The sequence below is a fragment of the Homo sapiens genome, chromosome 4 (genome assembly GCF_000001405.40).
Source record: "Homo sapiens chromosome 4, GRCh38.p14 Primary Assembly".
NCBI lineage: Eukaryota > Metazoa > Chordata > Mammalia > Primates > Hominidae > Homo > Homo sapiens.
In genome coordinates, this window is record NC_000004.12 from 106,200,773 (window position 1) to 106,226,496 (window position 25,724).

A 25,724-nucleotide genomic window follows, 5' to 3' on the forward strand; every position below is an offset into this window, starting at 1 on the left:
ACAAATATTTGTTGAAAGGATCAATCAAATATTTGTTGAAAGAATGAATGAAAAACACAATGAAAATCAATGAAAGTGATAAATTAAAAGATCCAAATAGTCATGAGATTATATATTTTCTTAAGAAGTTTTCAACAAATATGAAATAATGAGAAAATGAGTTAGTCCTTCCTTGCTTAATATTGGGGAAAAATCCTTCATATTAAATAATGGCATGTATTTAAAAAAATTAAACTTGAGATTTTGTTATATACCTATACTTTGATAATAATTATAAAAAATTATTTAAAATAAGCAAAACAAAGCTTATTCTAATGATATTTGAAAAGTAATAATTAGTTCAAGTTGAATAAATATCTTTAATATAACATATAACAGCTCCTAGGTGCTTACCAGAACCAGTTATCTCTTACCAATTAAGGATAATTAAGATTAATAAATAAGTAATGTACTCTGTGAGATAGTAATGTCTATTATTTTTTCTTTCTATATTTCTCCCGTTTAAAATATTGATATTTTCATCTTAAATAATTACTCAGGATATTGGCACAGCTTCATAATATAGCCTGATATAAAAAAGACATCAAGATACAATAATTTTGAATACCAGGTGGGTTTTGATTAAAAAGAAAAGCAATTTAATATTAGAGATATTATTAGCTATTTCCTGATTTAATAGAAAATGAAATCCAATGAAAAGAAATCATACATACTCTAAGTATTTTCTCCAGATCATGAAATTATGTACAATTGATTTGGTGTAGTGCTATTCTACACAGTCAGCTAAGTAAATACTGCCCCCTAGCAATATCAAGCAAGAGTAGTGATATTTAGCATTTCATGAGATCCTTCCATGTGGTCTGGTAATGTCAAATTTAGAACCATCAATAGGAAAAACAAAGGAAGGGAGAACCATCAATAGGAAAAACAAAGGAAGGGGGATAATTTTCTTGATTTTGAAAAGCAGAAAATTATGTTTTACTACTACAAAGAGGAGTCCCTTTCTATTGATTTTCTTAATCCACATCCTTTATAAGCATACTATATTGTCTATCTTAAGTCAGAAGTATTTTCATATTTAAATTATTATATGCCTTCTCTGTAATACATATTGACCATTAGTTTAATGCTTTTGCAATGATTCTTTATATGTACATTAGGAAACATATATACAGACATTCCAGAAAAGAATGTGTAAAAATCTGCACTTTGCGACCTGATAAAGTTATCTCCTTGAACCTTTAGGATTATTGTGAAGATTAGTTAATGGATCTAGAACATCTGGCATTTAGTAAACTTAAATATAGGAGTTACAATGATCACCCAGAATCTTCAGTAATGGAAAAGTATTTTAACAAGCCAAAGTTCTGAGGTAACCTCATTAAGTCATATAACAAAAGATACACACTTTTTTTTTTTTAAATTAGGAGAGGCATGAGCAGAAAATAAAAAGAATAGACTCCTAGGCACTGTATAAAATATTTTATTTATCAGTAACAATTATTTCATCAATACCAATTAATTATTCTCAACTATGCTTAAAAATACTAATAAGAAAACAGAAGAATGATGGAATCATCTACAAGGATAGCACAGTACTAAAATAAATCATCACTATTATGCCATCCTTCATTTTTCTTTTTGTGCTAGCCATAGTATTGCACCATCTTTCAAGAAGATATGAAAGATGTACAGAGACACCATCATTATAGATTTTTTGTTGTTTTTTTACGTTTTCATTGAACACAGCTAAAGATTGAGAATTTTCCATTTTCCACCTTTATTATTAAAAAGAAAAGAGAAAACTGTTTCATAACAGGGGAAAATGTTTTACAATTACTGGACTAATCAGAAGATGAATGCAAAAAGATAGCAACAGTTTAACTCAAGTCAAATGGTAAAATTAGTCACACAAGTGATATTGCAAATTGTGAGTGCTCAGATGACAGTCTCTTAGGTGAATTTCCTCAAACACAGCTATCAGAGTAAACAATAAATAAGTCTGGAATTCTCATTCAGTCAGTCATTCAATGTGAAGGGCCTCACCACACAATATTTTGCAATAAGAAACCTGGACCATTTTACTTTGCTAAAAGGATATATGAGAGTAATATTTGATTTTTTATGATATTTGTGCACCAAAATTTTTGATACAGTTTAAGCAAATAAATGCTATAAGTGTATGTGTTTGCAATGTAATTATAAATAGATGATATAGAAATAAAAATTAAATTTATTCTAATTTGTGTTCATAAATCTAAAAATGAAAATGTTTTCAAATTATGGAATAAAAGACAGCTGTTCTTCAACCAAGTTATGAGCTCTGTCAGTGTTTCATTTTGATGACTGTGTTATAACCATGCAAGTGCAAGAAGAACCAGAAATCAGCTAGAACCTATGAGAGACATATTTGAAATACGGAATCAGTATTTATATGATGGATATCCTTCAGGCTCATGTATGACAGCTGAGCAGTAAGTTCAAAGGACATATACACATATATATTTTCACATATATATATATATATATATACTTTCAAAATAAGGAATATATGACATAAAATTTTGGGTTTGTTGTGTTTAAATTCTTAATATTTTAATACAGTTTTTTACTATGCTTTATTCTACTTCTGCAAATTATTCACAAAATGACTTAAACATATAAAAATAATGTAAAAGATCCCTTGGACCCAAAAAGTAAATGGTTAATTTTTTTCCTCTATATACCAAAGATTATATTAGTTATATCTTTTACAGGTCATGATTTCTCTAAATAAAAAAAGAAACAAATAAAAAATAACTAACTGTATAAACATACCTTTTATTATTTATTCTCAGTTGGCTTACAATATTGAACAAAAGAACTATACACTGAAAACTTACAAGAAAATCACTCAGATAATTTAATGGTTCTGAGATCTACATTATCATTTTTGGGAAAGATGAGCTATTATTCCAGAATATATTTCAATTATTTCATTGATTACTACAAAAAACTTTTCAAAATTTTCAAACATAATTCATTCTAATTTACTTTAAGTAAAAGAAAGACTATAAAACATGTTATGTAGCACTTTGTTGAGATAGAGAAGTACCTTAAAATCAAGCAATTAAAAAGATTAAAATTCAAAGTGGCAGAAAATCTCATCAATTCAGACAACCTTGAAAGTCTTTATTGTTATTAGTACCATACCTCCTCTGACAGAGTATTCATTAACTGATGTAGCAAAATAATATATCCATTATAGCTTGTAATATAATGTTCTTCTAAATATGAATCATGCTAATAAAAGAAATAATGCAACATGATCAAACTCTAGTAATATTAAATAAAGAACAATACCCCTTAACAATTATAGTGTGCCTGGAGCTGTGTTGAACAGTTTATATGCATTCTCTAAACTTCATTATGAGGTAGAATTTATTATAATCTACATCAATGGTAAGAGGGTTGCAGGGAAAAAACTAAAACTAAAGCTAAAAATAGATTATGTAATTAGTATATGGAATAGCCAGAATTTAGAACCCTGGACCATTTGGCACAAGTGTCTGAGTACTTAACCTCTACACCAGCTTTCTTAAATCTTGGTCACAGGCCCTGGCGGTCCTTAAGTCCCTTCGGGGTCCACCAATTCAAAGCTATTTTTGTAATAATACTAAGATGATTTGCTCTTTTTACTGGATTGATATTTATGCTAATGGTGCAAAGCCACTGGTGGATAAAACTGCTGGCATGTTAGCACAATTTAAGGCACAGGCACCGAAGTATAATAATGGTCATGTGAAGGAGTAAAAATTATTAAATTTATTAAATATCTCTTTTAAAATTTGTGAAATAAAATGGAAGTAAGTGTAAAGCACTTGTGCTATCTACTGAAGTACAAAGAGGTAAAGCACTTGGGTAATCATCTGTGAGCTAATATTGATGGTTTCTGCAAGAAATACTATGTTTATTTGAAAGAATGACAGACAAACAATGATTTTTTTTTTTTTTTTTTTTTTTTTGAGACGGAGTCTCGCTCTGTCGCCCAGGCCGGACTGCGGACTGCAGTGGCGCAATCTCGGCTCACTGCAAGCTCCGCTTCCCGGGTTCACGCCATTCTCCTGCCTCAGCCTCCCGAGTAGCTGGGACTACAGGCGCCCGCCACCGCGCCCGGCTAATTTTTTGTATTTTTAGTAGAGACGGGGTTTCACCTTGTTAGCCAGGATGGTCTCGATCTCCTGACCTCATGATCCACCCGCCTCGGCCTCCCAAAGTGCTGGGATTACACGCGTGAGCCACCGCGCCCGGCCCAAACAATGATTTTTTTAAATGTACAAAGTGAAACAGTTACTTTAAGAAAAAATGAGAGCTTTTAGGCGAAGATTAAAATTTTGGAAAGCTAATATCTGCCACTGTGAAATTGGTCGGTTCCCAATACTTAATCACTTTTTGGAGAAGACCTGTTGTGATATTAATAAATGTGATTTTAAAAATATTCTATAATGAAATGCTTCATAGTTGGAAGATCTGTGTAACTCAGCAACCAATATTTTTCAATGACAAATTCATGACACTACAAAATTATGTATGAGTAAAAGAGCCATCTAAATTGCAAGATAGAGTGATGGATTTTAGTATAACAGAGTATGAGAAGTTCACTGACATGGTTTTAGACTGTACATAGCAACTAGCTTTAAGAAACAATGAGGCCAGGCACAGTGGATCACGCTTGTAATCCCAGCACTTTGGGAGGCCAAGGCAGGTGGATCACTTGAAGTCAGGAGTTCAAGACCAGCCTGGCCAACATGGTGAAGCCCTCTCCACTAAAAATACAAAAAAAAAAAAAAAAAAAAAAAAAAAAATTAGCCAGGCATGGTGGCAAACACCTGTAATCCCAGTTACTTGGGAGGCTGAGGCAGGAGAATCGCTTGAACCCGGGAGGCAGAGGTTGCAGTGAGCCGAGATCACTGCACTTCCAGCCTGAGTGATGGAGTGAGACTCTGTCTCAAAAAAAAAACAACAAAAAAAACAAAAAAAACCACTGCTCTGAGAAGTTTAAGAAACTACCGCTATCTGAGAAACTATTAACGTGTCTGTGTGAGGTCACATTTTCTTCATATAGTTAAACAAGTAAAAAGATTATAAAAATGTAAAAGATTATAAAAAGGTAAAACAATACCACTATTGCATTTTTGGGGAAAAATGTAACTATTTCTCAGAAAAATATGTTACTTTGGTTAACATGCAATGGTTTTGTTATTGTTATTTTTAAATGAATTATAAATACATAAATATATTTTAAATCTCTATAAATATCGATAGCTATAACTCATGTAAACAAAAACTCTTTGAGGTCCTCAATAATTTTTCAGAATATAAAGGGGTTCTGAGAGCAAAATGTTTTAGAACTGCTCCATTATGCCATACTTCCTTTCACCTGTTTCTGGACAGCATAAGGAATCATTAGATTAGAAACAGATGTGGGGGTAATGCAAATGAGGATTTACTGAATTGGAAAACTTGCTAGATATTTAACTTGTGTGTATAGTTTTTTGGCTAGAAAGTACCAAAAATGTCATTTTATCATCCCTGATACTATTAATAGCCACTTTGATTTCTAAAATCTGGGCACTTTCTGAAAGGTAATCAAGCTTCACTACGAGAGAGAGACTTTAATAAGCCATTTGTATTCAAAGGCCTTAATGGATCCAATGCCAGTAGAATGGGGTTTGTACTAATGTTGGGGACATAGCAGCTACCAGACAAGAGGACACATCACAGGACTCTTCAGAGAGACTATAACAGGCTAGTAGGACTCTTATTATGAGATATTCTAAATAAGGTGGATATTCCTAGTTTTTCCTGTAATTACATCTTGATAAAATCTGAAAAGCTCATTGTCAGTATTCTCTTTAGACTAAAATCTAAAATTTATTTACGTAACAACATAATGAAGATAAAGAACAAATGAAGGAACAAATACATAAATATTTCTGAGCAGTTTAAACTCGGCTGAATATACATTTTGAAAATGATTGTGATAAGCTTTTAAGTAGTATAAGCATCCTTTCAGATTGTAGTTAAATGTCAATGGCTTTACCAGCATATCATGGAATTTGTTAGCTTTATCTTTAGCTGTGACAGTAGGTTGAAAAGGCACATATAGTACTGATACACTCCTTATCATTTCTCTTAATGGTTACCTGACAACTCTTCATAATTTGCAAGCTGAATACTATTCACAGAATTTCAGGAAAACAGTTCCCTTAAGAATGAATCATACTTTCCTGATCTCATTTTAAATGAGGCCTACTATATTTTTAAAAGCAGAAACACATATCAAGACAAAAATGATAAATATCACCCTGTCTCCAATTTTATCAAATACACATTATTCACCCTATTTATATGTAAATCACATAACTACCATGAAATGTATAATCTAGGCATCACATCAGTGTACAATATTTCTAACTATTCAAGCTTTAGCAGTGCTCAGTATTCAGAGTTCCGTGACCCAGAGCAAAAGGAAAAAAGCCAGAAATCACAATCTCTACTGCAATGGAAGCCTGAATTTCAATGATGAAAGATTAATGAGGGCTTACTTTGATAGGTTTAGTTCTTGAGTAGGAAACTCGGTTTGGTAAATCATTATCAAAGTACCCACTCTTTTACTTGATGAATCTAGCTTGTATTGTTGTTAGAGGCATAGAAAGTTACCTCAATAATTAAAGGTAGAACATTAAAGACAACCATTCAGAATTTTTAAAAAATGCTATATACACAAACTAATAAAATACAACTAAAATATGTTATTAATAGAGTTAAAAAATGTTTTTAAAAGTCCTCCATTTCATCATGCCCCTCCCATAAGTACTCACTGTCAATAATGTCTACATTGAAACATTAAATCTGTTCACAAAATTGAATTTAAAAAAGGCCTCATCATTTTTATATTATCCACAGGCTTGAAAAACAGCTGAATTAAAAAACAAACACAAAGAAAAAGATTTCAAAAAACAGTCTTCCTATTAACATTTTAGCTTTCTTTGTTGAATAACTTTGCCCACTCTCTGTGACAAGAAAACAGTTGTAGATGGGACTCTTCTTCAGGTTAAGATATATTATTTCCCCTCATTTCTTTCTGTTTACTCTAAAATTCTTAACAAGTGACAGAACCGTTTGCTAGAGGACATTCAGAAATACATGTGAATTAATTACTCAGAAATGAGTGTAGAGGCATTTTTTTGTAATGATGATTAGAGGATTGCTAGTGGCAATGAGTGGTTGGGGGTCAGGGATGCTCAGCATTTGCCATGTGCTGGATATTCCTATCCCACAAAGAATTACTTCCCATCCCATATGACTTAAAACTGTCTCTGAAGACTAATCACACTACCATTGATAGCAGCAGGAGGCAGAAAAATCCCTAGGCAGATGGGGCAAGTCCCCAGTGTAATCCAATCTTAAACCAAAGACAGTTTAAGGTCTGAAAACCAAGATACAGGTCTCATACATATCTACAGAATGTATTGAGAACCTCTCCCGTATGGCACACTTTCCTCTGATTGATCCCTACCATTCACCTATTTTACATATACCTACCCTTCCCTAATTAGTTTTTTACACTGTTGTGGCCATCTTTGAGTGGTGCCTTTTTTTTTTTTTTTTAGCTTTTTTTGCATACTCACAAACCAATTAGCACATACACTCCCATTCTGAGCATATAAAAGCCCCAGGCTCAGCCACACTTTGGGCTACCCACTTTTAGGTGGTGGGAAGACTACCCAACTTCAGGTAAGGGTGCTGTCCAACTCAGGCTTCCTTCTCTGCTGAGAGCTGTTTTGTTACTGAGTAAAACTCTTTGCCTCACTCAACCGCTAGCTGTCAGCACAACCTTATTCTTGGACATGGGAAAAGAACTCAGGACCCACCAAACGGCAAGTGCAAACAAAGCTGTAACCCTGTAGCACACCCCTCCTGCTTGCCAAACAATGGGAGAAGGGACCTCTGGGCACCACACACCTCCATTTGTTGGGCTGTGGATGTGAGACTGAAAGAACTGTTAGCATGCTGTAACACCCCCTTTGGGGCTTTGGGGTCACATGCCCACCTCTGTTCAAGTGTCACAGCATTCCCCTCATCCAGACGCCGGCTCCCAAGGTGGAAGTAGGTCATGGCATGCCTGGCTCAGCCGCAGAGCAAGTGCAGGATCTGGGCCAGAGCTCAAGCCAAGCACAGCCTGCCTGGCCAGGTGGGCAGGGTACCTAGTGGGGCAAGCCCAGGGCCAAGTGAGACATGGGCAGGGGCAATGCCCACCATGAAGATCTCTGCTGGCAAAGTGACACTGAAAAAATCCTCTGTCACTATACAAATCAATATTACTTTCTTAATAACACTACAATTGCAGAACTTTTTTACAAGAAGTTAAGCAATAATGCTCCAGTAATTTTATGTGTAGATCATAACAGGGAAGCATAAATAAATATATTATGTCACAATTATTTAGTTATTGAGTAATTCACTCACCCTGCATAGCAGCACACTTAACACCAATGTACTCTCCACTCAGATTTAACAAGCATTAACATTTTGCCACATTTACTCTAAAATTTTTTAAACCAAAATAAAATATGACCAATACAATAGAAGCCCCTTTTGTACTACTCCTGAATTTCAATCCTCTCTTTTTAAATTTATGTTTTATACTTTCTGTAACCTTAATAAGAATTATTTCTTAGATAAAAAAATACAAATATAATATTCCATATTTAAGTCTTCTAATGGATCTAGAATTTATTTTTATGTGTGGTATGAAGTTAGGCTTTCATTTACACTGCCCTCCACATCCACATAGTTACTCAATCAGGACCATCAACAATGCTTTCTTTTCTAATTGATTGTATGGTCATCTCTGTCATATATCACCAAATTCTATACAGGGATGGGTCTGTTTTGTGTTCTCTCTTGTATTTTACTAGCTTCTATTAATATCACTAATGTTGTTCTGGTTAATTGCCTGACTTTTTTTTAATCTCCTTTGGCCAATATCTTTAAGTTTTTATATTTATCTCTTATAAGTACTATCAAGATAGATTTTCAAAAATATCTGAAAATCTCCTTTAATAAGCCATTTAATTAGCTTACATTCTTTCTATGTTCTTTCTGCTTTTATAAGATTAAATGTCTTTTCTTTGTTCTATCCTGCACCCCTCCATTGGTTTAGAAGTTACATATTCTCTCTTTATTCTTTTCAGGATTACCATTAAATTAAAATTTTAATGTGCATTATTGAACTTCTGAATTTCTTGTGAGGAGAGACATTTACTGTCCTTTGTTCTAGACTATCTTTTCAAATATGTTTGTATAAAAAACAGCCTTGGAAAGCAGAAATGGAATCTCCTTCTAGACAAAAGACAGATTTACTAATAGCCTTAGAAGAAAAAGACAGGCTCTCTCTCTTGAACAAAGGGAAGGCAAAAAAAAAATCCAATTCCTTAAGCTCATGGTTTCTCTCTTGTAATGTAATCCACTACATATGCAGGTATCATCTGGGTCCTTGATGTTGTTTCCATAGGATTTGAGAGCAAGAGAAACCAACACAAATATGCTAATGTTCATGCTGCTTGCTGTACTGTTAGTGATAATGTCCTTGGTCTCTGGCCCAGGAATCTTGCATTTTCTGCCTGTATCCAGAAAACAGTAATAGGCTAACTTATAAGCTTTCAAGGAGGGTACAATCAAATCTCAGATCTGAAAGGTTCCCTGACTTAATGTCTAAATAAAATGAGCATTCCCTCTAAATAATGCTAAAACATTAGAACACATTTTAACTGATTCCCACCTACTTTTACCTTTCACGTTATTATTTAGAATTTTATTTTCACCTTATTATTAGCCCTTCCCAAAGTGGATTTATATATATTTAAGTAACTTTTTACACAGATTTATAAACTTGTAGTATTTGATGAGTGATAATATTTAAAGAGGGTGGAAAAGTGCTTGGTACACAGTAAACATTTAATATGTATTCACATTAATTATGTTTTAACAATATTTTTAACTCAACATTGTTTCTTACATCATACTCATTCAGAATTCAATTTTCTGATTAACTAAAGTTATTTGTCCTTGTGTGTTTCCTTTCTTAATATTATCTCTGTTCATGAATATGTCTAAGGATTTTTATTGGATTATCTTTATAATTCTACACATTATTTTTTAAAGAGATGAAGTGTTGCTATGTTGTTTTGGTCTCAAACTCCTAGCCTCAAGTGATCCTCCTGCCTCAGCCTTTCAAGCATAAGCCACCGCACCTGGTTTCCAAACATACTTGTCTACATAAATGTTTTCTGTTTCTGTTCAGTGCTGAGCACAATTTAATTAGGTGCCTTTACAAAAATTTTTTGAAAATAATTATCTTTTTTAGTCTAAATTTTAAATACTTAATATTCTTTTTTACTCAAAAATCTAACACCATTACCAACTTGGCAGTCAGCTCCTTGACAGCTTCTTCAACTCTAGCCATAAGATTGGATCTATATTGTATTATACCTCACATTTATAATGATATTATACTCCAACAGCCTTTTATTTTTATTCTTTAATTTTAAAAATCAGTTTTTATTGATTTTTTAAATTCCTTATATAAGTATTTTTCAAATTTAGGTTTATAAAATCATCTTATTAAATGTAGACTTTTCAAAAATAACACAATGCATCACATGTAGGAGGCAGAAAACATTGTTTTGTAAAACTTATTTTAGTTGTATACACACATACACAACACCACTCGAATTCTGTGTGCCCCAGGTCTCAATATAAAATGTATTTCTTCCCATGCATTGTGAGAATAAACAGTTTTTAAGAAACTGCTTTATAGTATTCTATTAAACATGATCACATAATATAGTTTTAGGAAGTTTTTAACATTACAAAAAAAACACCTTAAATGAAAACAATTAAAAATTGCACTTAAGCCCCCTCGGTACCCATAACTCCTGTAACCCTACATAATCATAATTAATATTCTAGAGTATAGCCTTTCAACTTTTCCTATGTATATACACATATACACTAAATTCTATTTTATGAAAATGAGATAATACCATAATATTATTTTATAAATTACATTTCCTACTTTAATGATATGTAATGTGAACATTTTGGTTTTTTATCAATAATTTTTAATAAAGTATCTTCCTAAAAAATTATAATTGCTTGAGGTCAGGTGCCTTCAGCTTAACTTTTGAATGAATAATACATTCACAGTGTTAAAAAAAATTTTTTAATGTCAAATGTAACAAGAAAACAATTTCCTTTGCACCCACGCTACCACTTGCATCCCCATCACCAAGCAGCTAACTTTTGTTATTAATTTATTTTCCTCTCCACTTTCATTTGTTATTTTTAATTGATAAGTAATAATTGTATACATTTATTGGATACAATGTGATGTTTTGATATATGTTTATTCAACAGCCTTTAAAAAGGGCTTGATTCTATGTGACAAACAACAAATAAAAAACAGGCTAAGTCACGCTACAGCTAACGTTTGATTTTCAACTCTGACTTTTAGCTTGATGTGGACTACAGAGAAAAGAAAACCCAAAATCTATCTAAGCTCCCAAAGTAGTATCAAGTAAAACACAGAAGTTACTTTCACTTAAGTATAGACTTCCTATATCTTCAAAATCAGGCCTGAATATCATAAAATCCAAGTGAAAAGCCTACACAGCACAGTTTAATACAACACTATCACTAATGATTTTCTCAAAACTATCAACTATGCTAAGAAAAATGACTTATTTTCATTACTTAAGGTGGAAATATGGAAAGTAGCCACAAACTTACTAATACAAGGCTACAATTAGTAGCAGTAACTTGTTCAGATATGCACTATGACAACAAAAATTAAGAAAATACACTCTTCTGTGCTAATAATTTCTGCTTTTTTTTTTTAACCACATGTTCTATTAATGCACCAAGTACTTACATCTGGAATGAAACCAATCTCATTGAGATGATTACTCAGCTCTGGATCATGAAATGCAATCATCTGAGAGAAGACAGTCAGATACTCTGAAATTACAAAGTTTGAGACAATCATCATTTTTACACAGTACTCCAAGAACATTATATTCAAATATAGTTTTATTTATACATTGAATGAGATTTAATTTCTCCATGAGAATACTTTACGTGATAATTTTGTTTTGTTACTATTTTAATTACTTACTGCTAATTATTAAACAAGCACACCAACAAACTGTCATAACCTATTTTCTGCCTTCAGAGTTATCAGTTCATTTCTTGAGTCACAAATTGTACACATGATAAATAATGTTTTCCTGTTAAACTCTACAAGCACATTTTCTCTGGTAATATTAAATCTGCTTTGTATTTCTTGAATGTTCAGAAAGTGTAGCAGATCCTTAAATGAAGGAGAACATTTATAAGCAGTCACAAATGGAATAATAATGTCTCAAATTTGTTTATATATACAGATAAAACATATGCCTCTATATAGGCATCTGTTCCAGTTCTAATTTATTTCCATCTAAGACTTAGCAATTTGGCATATTTAGAAATAAGAATACCGGGGGAGGAACCAAGATGGCCGAATAGGAACAGCTCAGGTCTACAGCTCCCAGCCTGAGCGACGCAGAAGACAGGTGATTTCTGCATTTCCATTTGAGGTACCGGGTTCATCTCACTAGGGAGTGACAGACAGTGGGCGCAGGCAAGTGGGTGCGCGCACCGTGCGCGAGCCAAAGCAGGGCGAGGCATTGCCTCACTCGGGAAGCGCAAGGGGTCAGGGAGTTCCCTTTCCTAATCAAAGAAAGGGGTGACGGACGGCACCTGGACAATCGGGTCACTCCCACCCGAATACTGCGCTTTTCCGACGGGCTTAAAAAACGGCACACCACGAGATTATATCCTGCACCTGGCTCAGAGGGTCCTACCCCACGGAGTCTCCCTGATTGCTAGCACAGCAGTCTGAGATCAAACTGCAAGGCGGCAGCGAGGCTGGGGGAGGGGCGCCCACCATTGCCCAGGCTTGCTTAGGTAAACAAAGCAGCCCGGAAGCTCGAACTGGGTGGAGCCTACCACAGCTCAAGGAGGCCTGCGTGCCTCTGTAGGCTCCACCTCTGGGGGCAGGGCACAGACAAACAAAAAGACAGCAGTAACCTCTGCAGACTTAAATGTCTCTGTCTGACAGCTTTGAAGAGAGCAGTGGTTCTCCCAGCATGCAGCTGGAGGTCTGAGAACCAGCAGACTGCCCCCTCAAGTGGGTCCCTGACCCCTGACCCCCGAGCAGCCTAACTGGGAGGCACCCTCCAGCAGGGGCACACTGACACCTCACACGGCAGGGTACTCCAACAGACCTGCAGCTGAGGGTCCTGTCTGTTAGAAGGAAAACTAACAAACAGAAAGGACATCCACACCAAAAACCCATCTGTACATCACAATCATCAAAGACCAAAAGTAGATAAAACCACAAAGATGGGGAAAAAACAGAACAGAAAAACTGGAAACTCTAAAAATCAGAGCGCCTCTCCTCCTCCAAAGGAACGCGGCTCCTCACCAGCAACGGAACACAGCTGGACGGAGAATGACTTTGACGAGCTGAGAGAAGGCTTCAGACGATCAAATTACTCTGAGCTACGGGAGGACATTCAAACCAAAGGCAAAGAAGTTGAAAACTTTGAAAAAAATTTAGAAGAATGTATAACTAGAATAACCAATACAGAGAAGTGCTTAAAGGAGCTGATGGAGCTGAAAACCAAGGCTCGAGAACTATGTGAAGAATGCAGAAGCGTCAGGAGCCGATGCGATCAACTGGAAGAAAGGGTATCAGCAATGGAAGATGAAATGAATGAAATGAAGTGAGAAGGAAAGTTTAGAGAAAAAAGAATAAAAAGAAACGAGCAAAGCCTCCAAGCAATATGGGACTATGTGAAAAGACCAAATCTACGTCTGATTGGTGTACCTGAAAGTGATGGGGAGAATGGAACCAAGTTGGAAAACACTCTGCAGGATATTATCCAGGAGAATTTCCCCAATCTAGCAAGGCAGGCCAACGTTCAGATTCAGGAAATACAGAGAATGCCACAAAGATACTCCTTGAGAAGAGCAACTCCAAGACACATAATAGTCAGATTCACCAAAGTTGAAATGAAGGAAAAAATGTTAAGGGCAGCCAGAGAGAAAGGTCGGGTTACCCTCAAAGGGAAGCCCATCAGACTAACAGCGGATCTCTCGGCAGAAACCCTACAAGCCAGAAGAGAGTGGGGGCCAATATTCAACATTCTTAAAGAAAAGAATTTTCAACCTAGAATTTCATATCCAGCCAAACTAAGCTTCATAAGTGAAGGAGAAATAAAATACTTTACAGACAAGCAAATGCTGAGAGATTTTGTCACCACCAGGCCTGCCCTAAAAGAGCTCCTGAAGGAAGCAGTAAACATGGAAAGGAACAACCGGTACCAGCCGCTGCAAAATCATGCCAAAATGTAATGACCATCGAGACTACGAAGAAACTGCATCAACTAAGGAGCAAAATAACCAGCTAACATCATAATGACAGGATCAAATTCACACATAACACGATTAACTTTAAATGTAAATGGACTAAAGGCTCCAGTTAAAAGACACAGACTGGCAAATTGGATAAAGAGTCAAGACCCATCAGTGTGCTGTATTCAGGATACCAATCTCACGTGCAGAGACACACATAGGCTAAAAATAAAAGGATGGAGGAAGATCTACCAAGCAAAGGGAAAACAAAAAAAGGCAGGGGTTGCGATCCTAGTCTCTGATAAAACAGACTTTAAACCAGCAAAGATCAAAAGAGACAAAGAAGGCCATAACATAATGGTAAAGGGATCAATTCAACAAGAAGAGCTAACTATCCTAAATATATATGCACTCAATACAGGAGCACCCAGATTCATAAAGCAAGTCCTGAGTGACCTACAAAGAGACTTAGACTCCCACACATTAATAATGGGAGACTTTAACACCCCACTGTCAACATTAGACAGATCAACGAGACAGAAAGTCAACAAGGATACCCAGGAATTGAACTCAGCTCTGCACCAAGCGGACCCAATAGACATCTACAGAACTCTCCACCCCAAATCAACAGAATATACATTTTTTTCAGCACCACACCACACCTATTCCAAAATTGACCACATACTTGGAAGTAAAGCTCTCCTCAGCAAATGTAAAAGAACAGAAATTATAACAAACTATCTCTCAGACCACAGTGCAATCAAACTAGAACTCAGGATTAAGAATCTCACTCAAAACCACTCAACTACATGGAAACTGAACAACCTCCTCCTGAATGACTACTGGGTACGTAACGAAATGAAGGCAGAAATAAAGATGTTCTTTGAAACCAACGAGAACAAAGACACAACATACCAGAATCTCTGGGACACATTCAAAGCAGTGTGTAGAGGGAAATTTATAGCACTAAATGCCCACAAGAGAAAGCAGGAAAGATCCAAAATTGACACCCTAACATCACAATTAAAAGAACAAGAAAAGCAAGAGCAAACACATTCAAAAGCTAGCAGAAGGCAAGAAATAACTAAAATCAGAGCAGAACTGAAGGAAATAGAGACACAAAAAACCCTTCAAAAAATTACTGAATCCAGGAGCTGGTTTTCTGAAAGGATCAACAAAATTGATAGACCGCTAGCAAGAATAATAAAGAAAAAAAGAGAGAAGAATCAAATAGACGCAATAAAAAATGATAAAGGGGATATCACCACCGATCCCACAGAAATACAAACTACCATCAGAGAATACTACAAACACCTCTATGCAAATAAACTAGAAAACCTAGAAGAAATGGGTAAATTCCTTGACACATACACTCTCCCAAGACTAAACCAGGAAGAAGTTCAATCTCTGAATAGACCAATAACAGGATCTGAGATTGTGGCAATAATCAATAGCTTACCAACCAAAAAGAGTCCAGGACCAGATGGATTCACAGCCGAATTCTACCAGAGGTACAAGGAGGAACTGGTACCATTCCTTCTGAAACTATTCCAATCAATAGAAAAAGAGGGAATCCTCCCTAACTCATTTTATGAGGCCAGCATCATTCTGATACCAAAGCCAGGCAGAGACACAACCAAAAAAGAGAATTTTAGACCAATATCCTTGATGAACATTGATGCAAAAATCCTCAATAAAATACTGCCAAACCAAATCCAGCAGCACATCAAAATGCTTATCCACCATGATCAAGTGGGCTTCATCCCTGGGATGCAAGGCTGGTTCAATATACACAAATCAATAAATGTAATCCAGCATATAAACAGAGCCAAAGACAAAAACCACATGATTATCTCAATAGATGCAGAAAAGGCCTTTGACAAAATTCAACAACCCTTCATGCTAAAAACTCTCAATAAATTAGGTATTGATGGGACATACTTCAAAATAATAAGAGCTATCTATGAGAAACCCACAGCCAATATCATACTGAATGGGCAAAAACTGGAAGCATTCCCTTTGAAAACTGGCACAAGACAGGGATGACCTCTCTCACCACTCCTATTCAACATAGTGTTGGAAGTTCTGGCCAGGGCAATTAGGCAGGAGAAGGAAATAAAGGGCATTCAGTTAGGAAAAGAGGAAGTCAAATTGTCCCTGTTTGCAGATGACATGATTGTATATCTAGAAAACCCCATTGTCTCAGCCCCAAATCTCCTTTAGCTGATAAGCAACTTCAGCAAAGTCTCAGGATACAAAATCAATGTGCAAAAATCACAAGCATTCCTATACACCAACAACAGACAAACAGAGAGCCAAATCATGAGTGAACTCCCATTCACAATTGCTTCAAAGAGAATAAAATACCTAGGAATCCAACTTACAAGGGATGTGAAGGACCTCTTCAAGGAGAACTACAAACCACTGCTCAAGGAAATCAAAGAGGATACAAACAAATGGAAGAGCATTCCATGCTCATGGGTAGGAAGAATCAATATTGTGAAAATGGCCATACTGCCCAAGGTAATTTATAGATTCAATGCTATCCCCATAAAGCTACCAATGACTTTCTTCACAGAATTGGAAAAAACTACTTTAAAGTTCATATGGAACCAAAAAAGAGCCCGCATCGCCAAGTCAATCCTAAGCCAAAAGAACAAAGCTGGAGGCATCACGCTACCTGACTTCAAACTATACTACAAGGCTACAGTAACCAAAACAGCATGGTACTGGTACCAAAACAGAGATATAGATCAATGGAACAGAATAGAGCCCTCAGAAATAACGCCGCATATCTACAACTATCTGATCTTTCACAAACCTGAGAAAAACAAGCAATGGGGAAAGGATTCCCTATTTAATAAATGGTGCTGGGAAAACTGGCTAGCCATATGTAGAAAGCTGAAACTGGATCCCTTCCTTACACCTTATACAAAAATCAATTCAAGATGGATTAAAGACTTAAACGTTAGACCTAAAACCATAAAAACCCTAGAAGAAAACCTAGGCAATACCATTCAGGACATACGCATGGGCAAGGACTTCATGTCTAAAACACCAAAAGCAATGGCAACAAAAGACAAAATTGACAAATGGGATCTAATTAAACTAAAGAGCTTCTGCACAGCAAAAGAAACTACCATCAGAGTGAACAGGCAACCTACAACATGGGAGAAAATATTCGCAACCTACTCATCTGACAAAGGGCTAATATCCAGAATCTACAATGAACTCAAACAAATTTACAAGAAAAAAACAAACAACCCCATCAAAAAGTGGGCAAAGGACATGAACAGACACCTCTCAAAAGAAGACATTTATGCAGCCAAAAAACACATGAAAAAATGCTCACCATCACTGGCCATCAGAGAAATGCAAATCAAAACCACAATGAGATACCATCTCACACCAGTTAGAATGGCGATCATTAAAAAGTCAGGAAACAACAGGTGCTGGAGAGGATGTGGAGAAATAGGAACACTTTTACACTGTTGGTGGGACTGTAAACTAGTTCAACCATTGTGGAAGTCAGTGTGGCGATTCCTCAGGGATCTAGAACTAGAAATACCATTTGACCCAGCCATCCCATTACTGGGTATATACCCAAAGGACTATAAATCATGCTGCTATAAAGACACATGCACACATATGTTTATTGTGGCATTATTCACGATAGCAAAGACTTGGAACCAACCCAAATGTCTAACAATGATAGACTGGATTAAGAAAATGTGGCACATATACACCATGGAATACTATGCAGCCATAAATAATGATGAGTTCATGTCCTTTGTAGGGACATGGATGAAATTGGAAATCATCATTCTCAGTAAACTATCACAAGAACAAAAAACCAAACACCGCATATTCTCACTCATAGGTGGGAATTGAACAATGAGATCACATGGACACAGGAAGGGGAACATCACACTCTGGGGCCTGTTGTGGGGTGGGGGGAGGGGGGAGGGATAGCACTGGGAGATATACCTAATGCTAGATGACGAGTTAGTGGGTGCAGCACACCAGCATGGCACATGTATACGTATGTAACTAACCCGCACAATGTGCACATGTACCCTAAAACTTAAAGTATAATAATAAAAAAATAAAAAAATAAAAAATAAATAAAAATAAAAATTAAAAGTATAAAAAAAGACATAAGAATACCATGTTTAATCAGAAAGTAGAGATACGGTAGGCAATTAAAAATATATTTTGTTGATTCTAATTCTATTAGAATTCATAGAGTTCAGTTGAAATATGAGGAATATGTTCATTTTTTTCATTCTTCCAAAGTTACTATTCTTGCCAGTTTACTCACTATGCACTAATCTAAACAAGATAGTGCTAACAATCTACTCAAGGGCAAGTAACTATTATATTTTTACTAATTAAAAAACCAAGATTAATACATATTTCAATGAGCTCAACTTTTTTTTTTTTAAATATAGACTGGGTTTTGCTATGTTGTCTAGGCTGGTCTCAAACTCCTGGGCTCAAGCAATCCTCCTGTATTGGCCACCCAAAGTGCTGAGATTACAGGTGACAACCTCATTTTTTTGAAATTGAAATGACAATAACATCATAAAACTTTTCCCTTCATAATCACAACTTTCTCCTACAGTAAAGTAACATCTATTTTTAAAACCGATTATTTGGTGAAAATAATCTTCAAAAAATAATGTCTGCCTTGTTATTTGTTAAATTTTTAAAGTTTTTAGCTTTTAATATTTGAACAAATAGTACTAAATTATTGACAGTCCATCAGTACAAGTAGTCTTCCCTTACTTTTCTCAAATAATCCTTTGCTTCCAATGATCACATGAATTTTATAGATAACATGGTTTGGCTGTGTCCCCACCCAAATCTCAACTTGAATTGTATCTTCCAGAATTCCCACATGTTGTGGGAGGGACCGGGGTGTGGTAATTGAATCATGGGAGCTGCTCTTGCCCGTGCTATTCTCATAATAGTGAATAAGTCTCACGAGATCTGACGGGTTCTTCAGGGGTTTCTGCTTTTGCTTCTTCCTCATCTTCTCCTGCCGCTGCCATGTAAGAAGTGCCTTTTGCCTCCTGCCATCATTCTGGGGCTTCCCCAGCCATGTGGAAATGTAAGTCCAATTAAACCTCTCTTTTTTTTTCCAGTATCGGGCATGTCTTTATCAGCAGCATGAAAATGGATAAATACAATAGATATTTCCCTATAAGCAAACATCTTACATGTCACATATCCTACACAGAAGAGCTTCAGGGCAAAAAGAAAAAAAGATGAGGTGCTGTATTCCATGACAAGCTGAATTCCTCATTTAATGTGAACTTTTACCCATGCTGGATTTAAAAAAAAAAAGATACTCAAGTAATACTTTTTCTTGACTTGATGTTAATTCTACTGCCACAAAATGCATTCTATCCGTCCATTGTCTCACCTTTTCCTCTCTGCACAAAAAAGGTACAATTTACATCAGTTTCAAGAGTTATAGATCAAAGTGAAGACCCAAAATATATCTGAAGGGCCCAGGGAACTTCTGGGTTTAACTTTTCTTTAACTTTTTAATTTCTCCTTCCAATTAGTGGTGGTGTGTTTGTAATTCCAATTTACTCAGAAGCCAGAGATATGTGACATCAACAATTACAAGCATTCAACTATATATCAATGAAAGCATACAGTTATTAACTTCTAAAAAGCATGCTTCATTTTAAAACAGAAATTCACACCTCAGGCAATTTTCCACAGCTATGCTCCAGTTTATTAAATATCATTCTTATTTGAGTCTGATAAAAATAATTACTATGTAAAATTACATGGCTAATTAAGGATCTGCTGAAGAAATCTAATCCATCATGAAAACACTGTCCTGCCACCACACCCAGCTAATTTTTGTATTTTTAGTAGAGACGGGGTTTCACCCTGTTTGCCAGGCTGGTCTCGAACTCCTGACCTCAGGTGATCTGCCCGGCTTGGCCTCCCAAAGTGCTGGGATTGCAGGCATGAGCCACTGTGCCTGGCCAACACTGATGATTGGATTTATATGTTATAACTGCATATACATATATATACACACACACACAGACATAAAATATATAAATTTATTTTATGTATTATTAAAAGTTATATGTTATATATCACTTCATATATGCAAATATAATTTGTAAAACTAGCATAAGTTTTGGTTGCTCAGGACAGGCTTTCAAATGAGATAACAATATGGCCTGTTATATTTACAAAGTTCTGTCTCTAAAGGGAGCACATGTGACAGCTGATGAAATCTGCACTATGTAATATTCTCAGTTATTTCAAAAAAGCTTTTAAAAGCCCCTTGGTGTAAATTTTTAAAATATCAAAATAAATATATGCCTTTTGATTTGCAAATCAAAGAATTCAAGAGTAGTTACAAAAAAAAAAGAAAAACAGAATAAAACAAAGGATTCAATGGAATCATAGAATCTTGACTCTTTTTAAGGAGACATTAAAATATTGTTAAAGCTCTGTAATTGACATGGACACAAAGAAGGGAATAACAGACTCCAGGACCGCTTGAGGGAGGAAGGTGAGAGGAGAGAGATGATTGAAAACCTACCTGTCTGGTACTATGCTTATTACCTGGGTGATGAAATAATCTGTACACCAAATCCCCATGACATGCAATTTACATATATAACAAATCTGTACATGTACCCTGAATCTAAAAGTTAAAAAAAATCTGTAATTGTGATTTATACTATATAATAAGGATATGAATCTAGAGTCTTAACTTCAAAAATAGTGTTTTCTAACCTACACATGACCTATATAGAGGTAAATGGTATTATTTAAACAAATAAATTAAGGTTCTTATTAAATTTCCCATTTAAGCTTCAAGTGAAGTTTATTATATTACAGTATAAAATCTATCTAATATAAATTTTCTTCATTTTATATTTGTAAAACCTTATAACTTTTAATTTTTCCAATGAAATATAAAATGAAAATAAATTGTCATCTTCCCTTCTAATTGCTCTGTATTAAAAATTTTTGTTTCTCTCCTTTAAAATGGCTTGTTATATATATTAACATGACAATCCCCAATAAATTTATTGTAAGAATTTTATATGACACTATCATATTTTTGTGCAACTGTTTATAAATAAGCCATCTGTTTTCCAAAAAATATATGCAGAGACAAAATTTCAGAAAGCCCTACATATAGGTATCCTTATTTTTCCCTTCCGAAAAGTTTTTCAGCTTTGACTCTTTTAGCTAGGATAAGAAGATGAAAGATGATGGGTGGGATTTAAAACAAATGTTTTCCTCAGCTCACACATCAGAAATGGTATTCTCAATTCCATAACTATTTGTTGTTTTCCATCAGACTACTAGTCTATCATGAAGATGATAAATATAGATAGGTTGGGAGTTATGTATCTGTTGTCAACTAAGAATGTGCCCAAACCAAACCATTTGGTGATAATGTTGACTCACTGCACTCAAAAGCAGGGTTATTTTAATGCAAATGAACCTGAATTACTTCCCATTACAAAGTTTTCTGCTGTAAAATTTGGCCTATCTAGTAAAGGCACAAAAAACAAGCACCAACTTTTATAACTAAGTGGAAAGAAGGGGTTCAAAAGAAGAGAAAGGAAAGAGAAAAGTAATCTTTAGAGCTACATTTGTGAACCACTTTCTTTCCTTCTCACATATCTTGCTCTAGCTAAAAAAAGAATCTACAGATGAGCCCACTTAATAGTTATCATAATAATATTTCTAGTAAAGGTAGGTAGGACATTTACTGTTTCAGGAAAAATCTCCTCAGTCACATGATACAAGATATTCTTAAAAATCCCAAGACTGTATATACTACAATCTCCAAATATCATTAAAGTCATTAAGCAAAGATGTGCACTAAGCTGCACATATATTAAAAGTAATGGAAAAAAACACAACTGCTTTTGCACCAACCTAATACAATGCACTACCTTTCTAAATACATAACTTTTGGAGTGAAATTGCATATTCTCTCGCTCTCATTGTTACAGTTTGGTGGGAAAGAAGAGTTTTATACCCCACCTTTGACAACTGGACTTTAGACTTTGTATGTCTGTCTTCCTCTTTCTCCTTCCAAGAGTTACTGAATATATATGTGTAGTATGAACTTATCTCCTAGTTTGCCTGAGAGAGTCCCAGTTGGCATCTGTAGACCCAGCATCTGGTACAGTGCCCCTTTAAACTCTCAGAAACATCCCAATTTAGTTGTACAGTCAATCTAGCTATATGTGGTACTATATTAAATGTTGGGGACATCACAGTGAAGAACATACGATTCTTTCCCTCAAAAGATTTAGAAAGATATACAGGTAAACAGAAAATTGGGGAAACTTTCTCCTAATTTCCCAGATTTATATGATATCTCCTCTTATCTTTACCTTTCCGACTTGTAGCAACCACATCTTCCAAAACACTACAAGAGTATGTTTAATGTGCCAAAGTTTCATTGGCCAAATATAGTCTACCTGGTTCCTCACTGGCCTGAAGCTGCCTTTCTCCTCAATAGCCTAAGATATACCTGTCCTGCAAGTTATAAACTTGTTTTCCAATATGGCTGAAATGCTAATCAACAGATTTCTTTCTAATTCCTCCATCTTTTTCCATACAATTAATACTCTAAGATTCTGAACCTTAGAATAATTTTAATAATCTTAGATAATCTCAACAGCCAATCCTGAGTTGCATAATCAGTATGTTATTTTTAAATGTTCCCATGTATTGATAGTTTGTCAACTCAATAACAATGTTTCTGGTGATAATTTGATAGTACAAACGATAATAAGAAATATTCATTTAAGTCAGAAAGTAATTAAATTTATTATATCTTAAATATATCTGCAGGTAACAAGTCAATAGAACTAAGTTTAAAAAAACAGGGTATCTTGATTAAATTGAGCATTCTTTTACTGATCTATAAGAGGTAAAGCATTTTAGAGTCTCATGAGTGTATATATATTTTAGAAAAAACTTTAAAATACAAAATATTTTAAGTTCTATTAGCGTATAGTAATAATAACTTTTTTTTTTCAAAGAACAATTCAAGTTGCTATTGAACATAGAAACTTTTAACTTCCGGAAAGGCAATTCAAAGATTCAGTAAATATGCATTTCTACAATTGGCTTTTAAATGGATTAGTTTCTTACGACTTAGGATTTTTCCCAAAATTTGTGGAGAAGAAAGTGTACATGTGATATTTATGCCAACCAAAAATCAATTACTACTTTGAAGTGTAAAGCTTAAAACTCTACAAAATAAAGAGAAACACAGTAACAAAGAAGTAAACTAATAAGAGCTATTTCTAATTCTAAGCCTAAAATAAACACTTTGAAGAAAAATAAACCACTGTTCTATCAAACTTTAGTAACCAATATACAGTGTACTGTTTCAGCTCCTTCTTTAGCTTTCCATCTCTCTTTCCTACCCGACAGATCAGATTTGATTAGTGGATATTTTATCATCCCATTTTACACTCTTTTACTTCAGTCCTCTTCTTTGTTCCCTGTCCTAAGAATGTCTTTACCTATTCTCACCAATGAAATTCCTACTCAAACTTCAAATTCATCAAGTATCTTCCTTTTATGAAACCTTTCCAGAATGCTATCTCTTCTTTTTGCTACCACACACAAGAAAATTGAAACCCCCTAAACTTCTTGCTCTGTGCTAACATAATAGTATGTATACTTGTCTCCTAGACTTATAAGTAGTCATTTTCACATTTATTTACCGTATCATAGTATGAAGTCCTTTGGGAAAGGAATAAATGTTATTTATTGAAAGAATCTCAATTCTGTAAGCAGCACTTGGCATGGCACAGTGTCAGCACAGTTATATACTGAAAGACTAAATTAATTGAAACTGTTTTTTTTCTTATGTAACATATGGTCAATATAAAATTTGGACAAATGATTTAAAACACCTTGTCTATTGATTTTTTTTTAGCATAATATTAAAGAACATTTATGGTGGCTTTAAAGAAGTTCAAAATTAAATACCAATTCAAGATTTCAAATGCAATTTTATAGAAATCATAACTGAGGAAATTATTAATACTTAGAGAAACAAGCAATCAATAATTGTTGAGAGGTCTTTTAATTATAATATTGGATGTTAAAATGTATTACTGATAAAATTGATCAAACTAAAGAACAGTCTTTTTGGTCTTTTTTTTGTTTGTTTTTGAGACGGAGTCTCGCTCTGTCACCCAGGCTGGAGTGCAGTGGCGCAATCTCGGTTCACTGCAAGCTCTACCTCCCAGGTTCAAGTGATTCTCCTGCCTCAGCCTCCCAAGTAGCTGGGATTACAGGCGCCTGCCACCATGCCCAGCTATTTTTGTATTTTTAGTAGAGACAGGGTTTCACCGTGTTGGCCAGGCTGGTCTCGAACTCCTGACGTCGTGATCTGCCCTCCTCGGCCTCCCAAAGTGCTGGGATTACAGGCGTGAGCCACTGCGCCCAGCTTTTTTGGCCTTTCTGACAAGTCTCTCCAAATTCATGTTGTGTACACTACAGTCTCTAATTTAATAAATTAAACAAGACATTGTCTTGCATATCTGTATAGTATGCCTTTTAAAAGTGTGTTAAGGCTGGCCGCAGTGGCTCAAGCCTGTAATTCCAGCACTTTGGGAGGGAGAGGTGAGCGAATGGCTTGAGCTCCTGAGTTTGAGATCAGCCTGGGGAACATGGCCAAACTCTTATCTCTACAAAAAAATACAAAAATTAGCCAGATGTGGTGATGCATGCCTGTAGTCTCAGCTACTCAGGAGGCTGAGGTGGAAGGGTGGCTTGAGCACAGGAGGTGGAGGTTGCAGTGAGCTGAGATTGTGCCATGGCACTCTAACCTGGGTGAAAGAGCCAGACCTTGTATCAAAAAAGTGTGTTAAAAAAGCCTGCAATTAGAAAGTGTGGAAATTTGTCTTTTTCATATTGGAAATTCATTATTAATATACAATGTATGTATCTGAGATATGAAACAGTAGAAAAATAAAATTTTGGGAGGAAGATAATTTCTATGTTTTGTAACAGGCATCTAGAAATAGAAATAGAAATCAATGTAACAGAAGATGTCTCATATGGTCTTTTAAGAGGTGGCCATCTAGCCAGGTATCATCCAGCCATCTAAGAAACAGTCTAATCAGCTCATGTTATAAGTCCTGTTTTTATTGCTTATTTGAGGATTCCCCAATATTTTCATCTTTCTA

General features: G+C 35.1%; 1 protein-coding gene across 22 annotated transcripts in view, besides 2 other annotated features; it reads right to left on the reverse strand.

Annotated features, from left to right (window-relative positions):
* The window catches only part of TBCK (TBC1 domain containing kinase), a 275,085-nt gene that overhangs the window by 159,174 nt on the left and 90,187 nt on the right, over window positions 1-25,724 (reverse strand). For all 22 annotated transcript variants that reach the window (XR_001741353.3, XR_007057984.1, XR_007057982.1 and 19 more), the window contains one exon: window positions 11,978-12,063. Coding sequence is in view for 17 of the 22 variants with exons in the window: in NM_001163436.4 (NP_001156908.2) it covers window positions 11,978-12,063 (86 nt within the window). In the remaining 5 variants the exon portion in view is untranslated. The remainder of the gene's footprint in view (window positions 1-11,977; window positions 12,064-25,724) is intronic.
* Window positions 12,286-12,948: an enhancer, noted in NCBI's record as "OCT4-NANOG-H3K27ac-H3K4me1 hESC enhancer chr4:107134215-107134877 (GRCh37/hg19 assembly coordinates)". NCBI's record gives its function as "activates a minimal SCP1, AML or CMV promoter by ChIP-STARR-seq in naive H9 embryonic stem cells {active_cell/tissue: H9 hESC(naive)}" and the evidence as "EXISTENCE:reporter gene assay evidence [ECO:0000049][PMID:30033119]".
* Window positions 12,949-13,610: an enhancer, noted in NCBI's record as "OCT4-NANOG-H3K27ac-H3K4me1 hESC enhancer chr4:107134878-107135539 (GRCh37/hg19 assembly coordinates)". NCBI's record gives its function as "activates a minimal SCP1, AML or CMV promoter by ChIP-STARR-seq in naive H9 embryonic stem cells {active_cell/tissue: H9 hESC(naive)}" and the evidence as "EXISTENCE:reporter gene assay evidence [ECO:0000049][PMID:30033119]".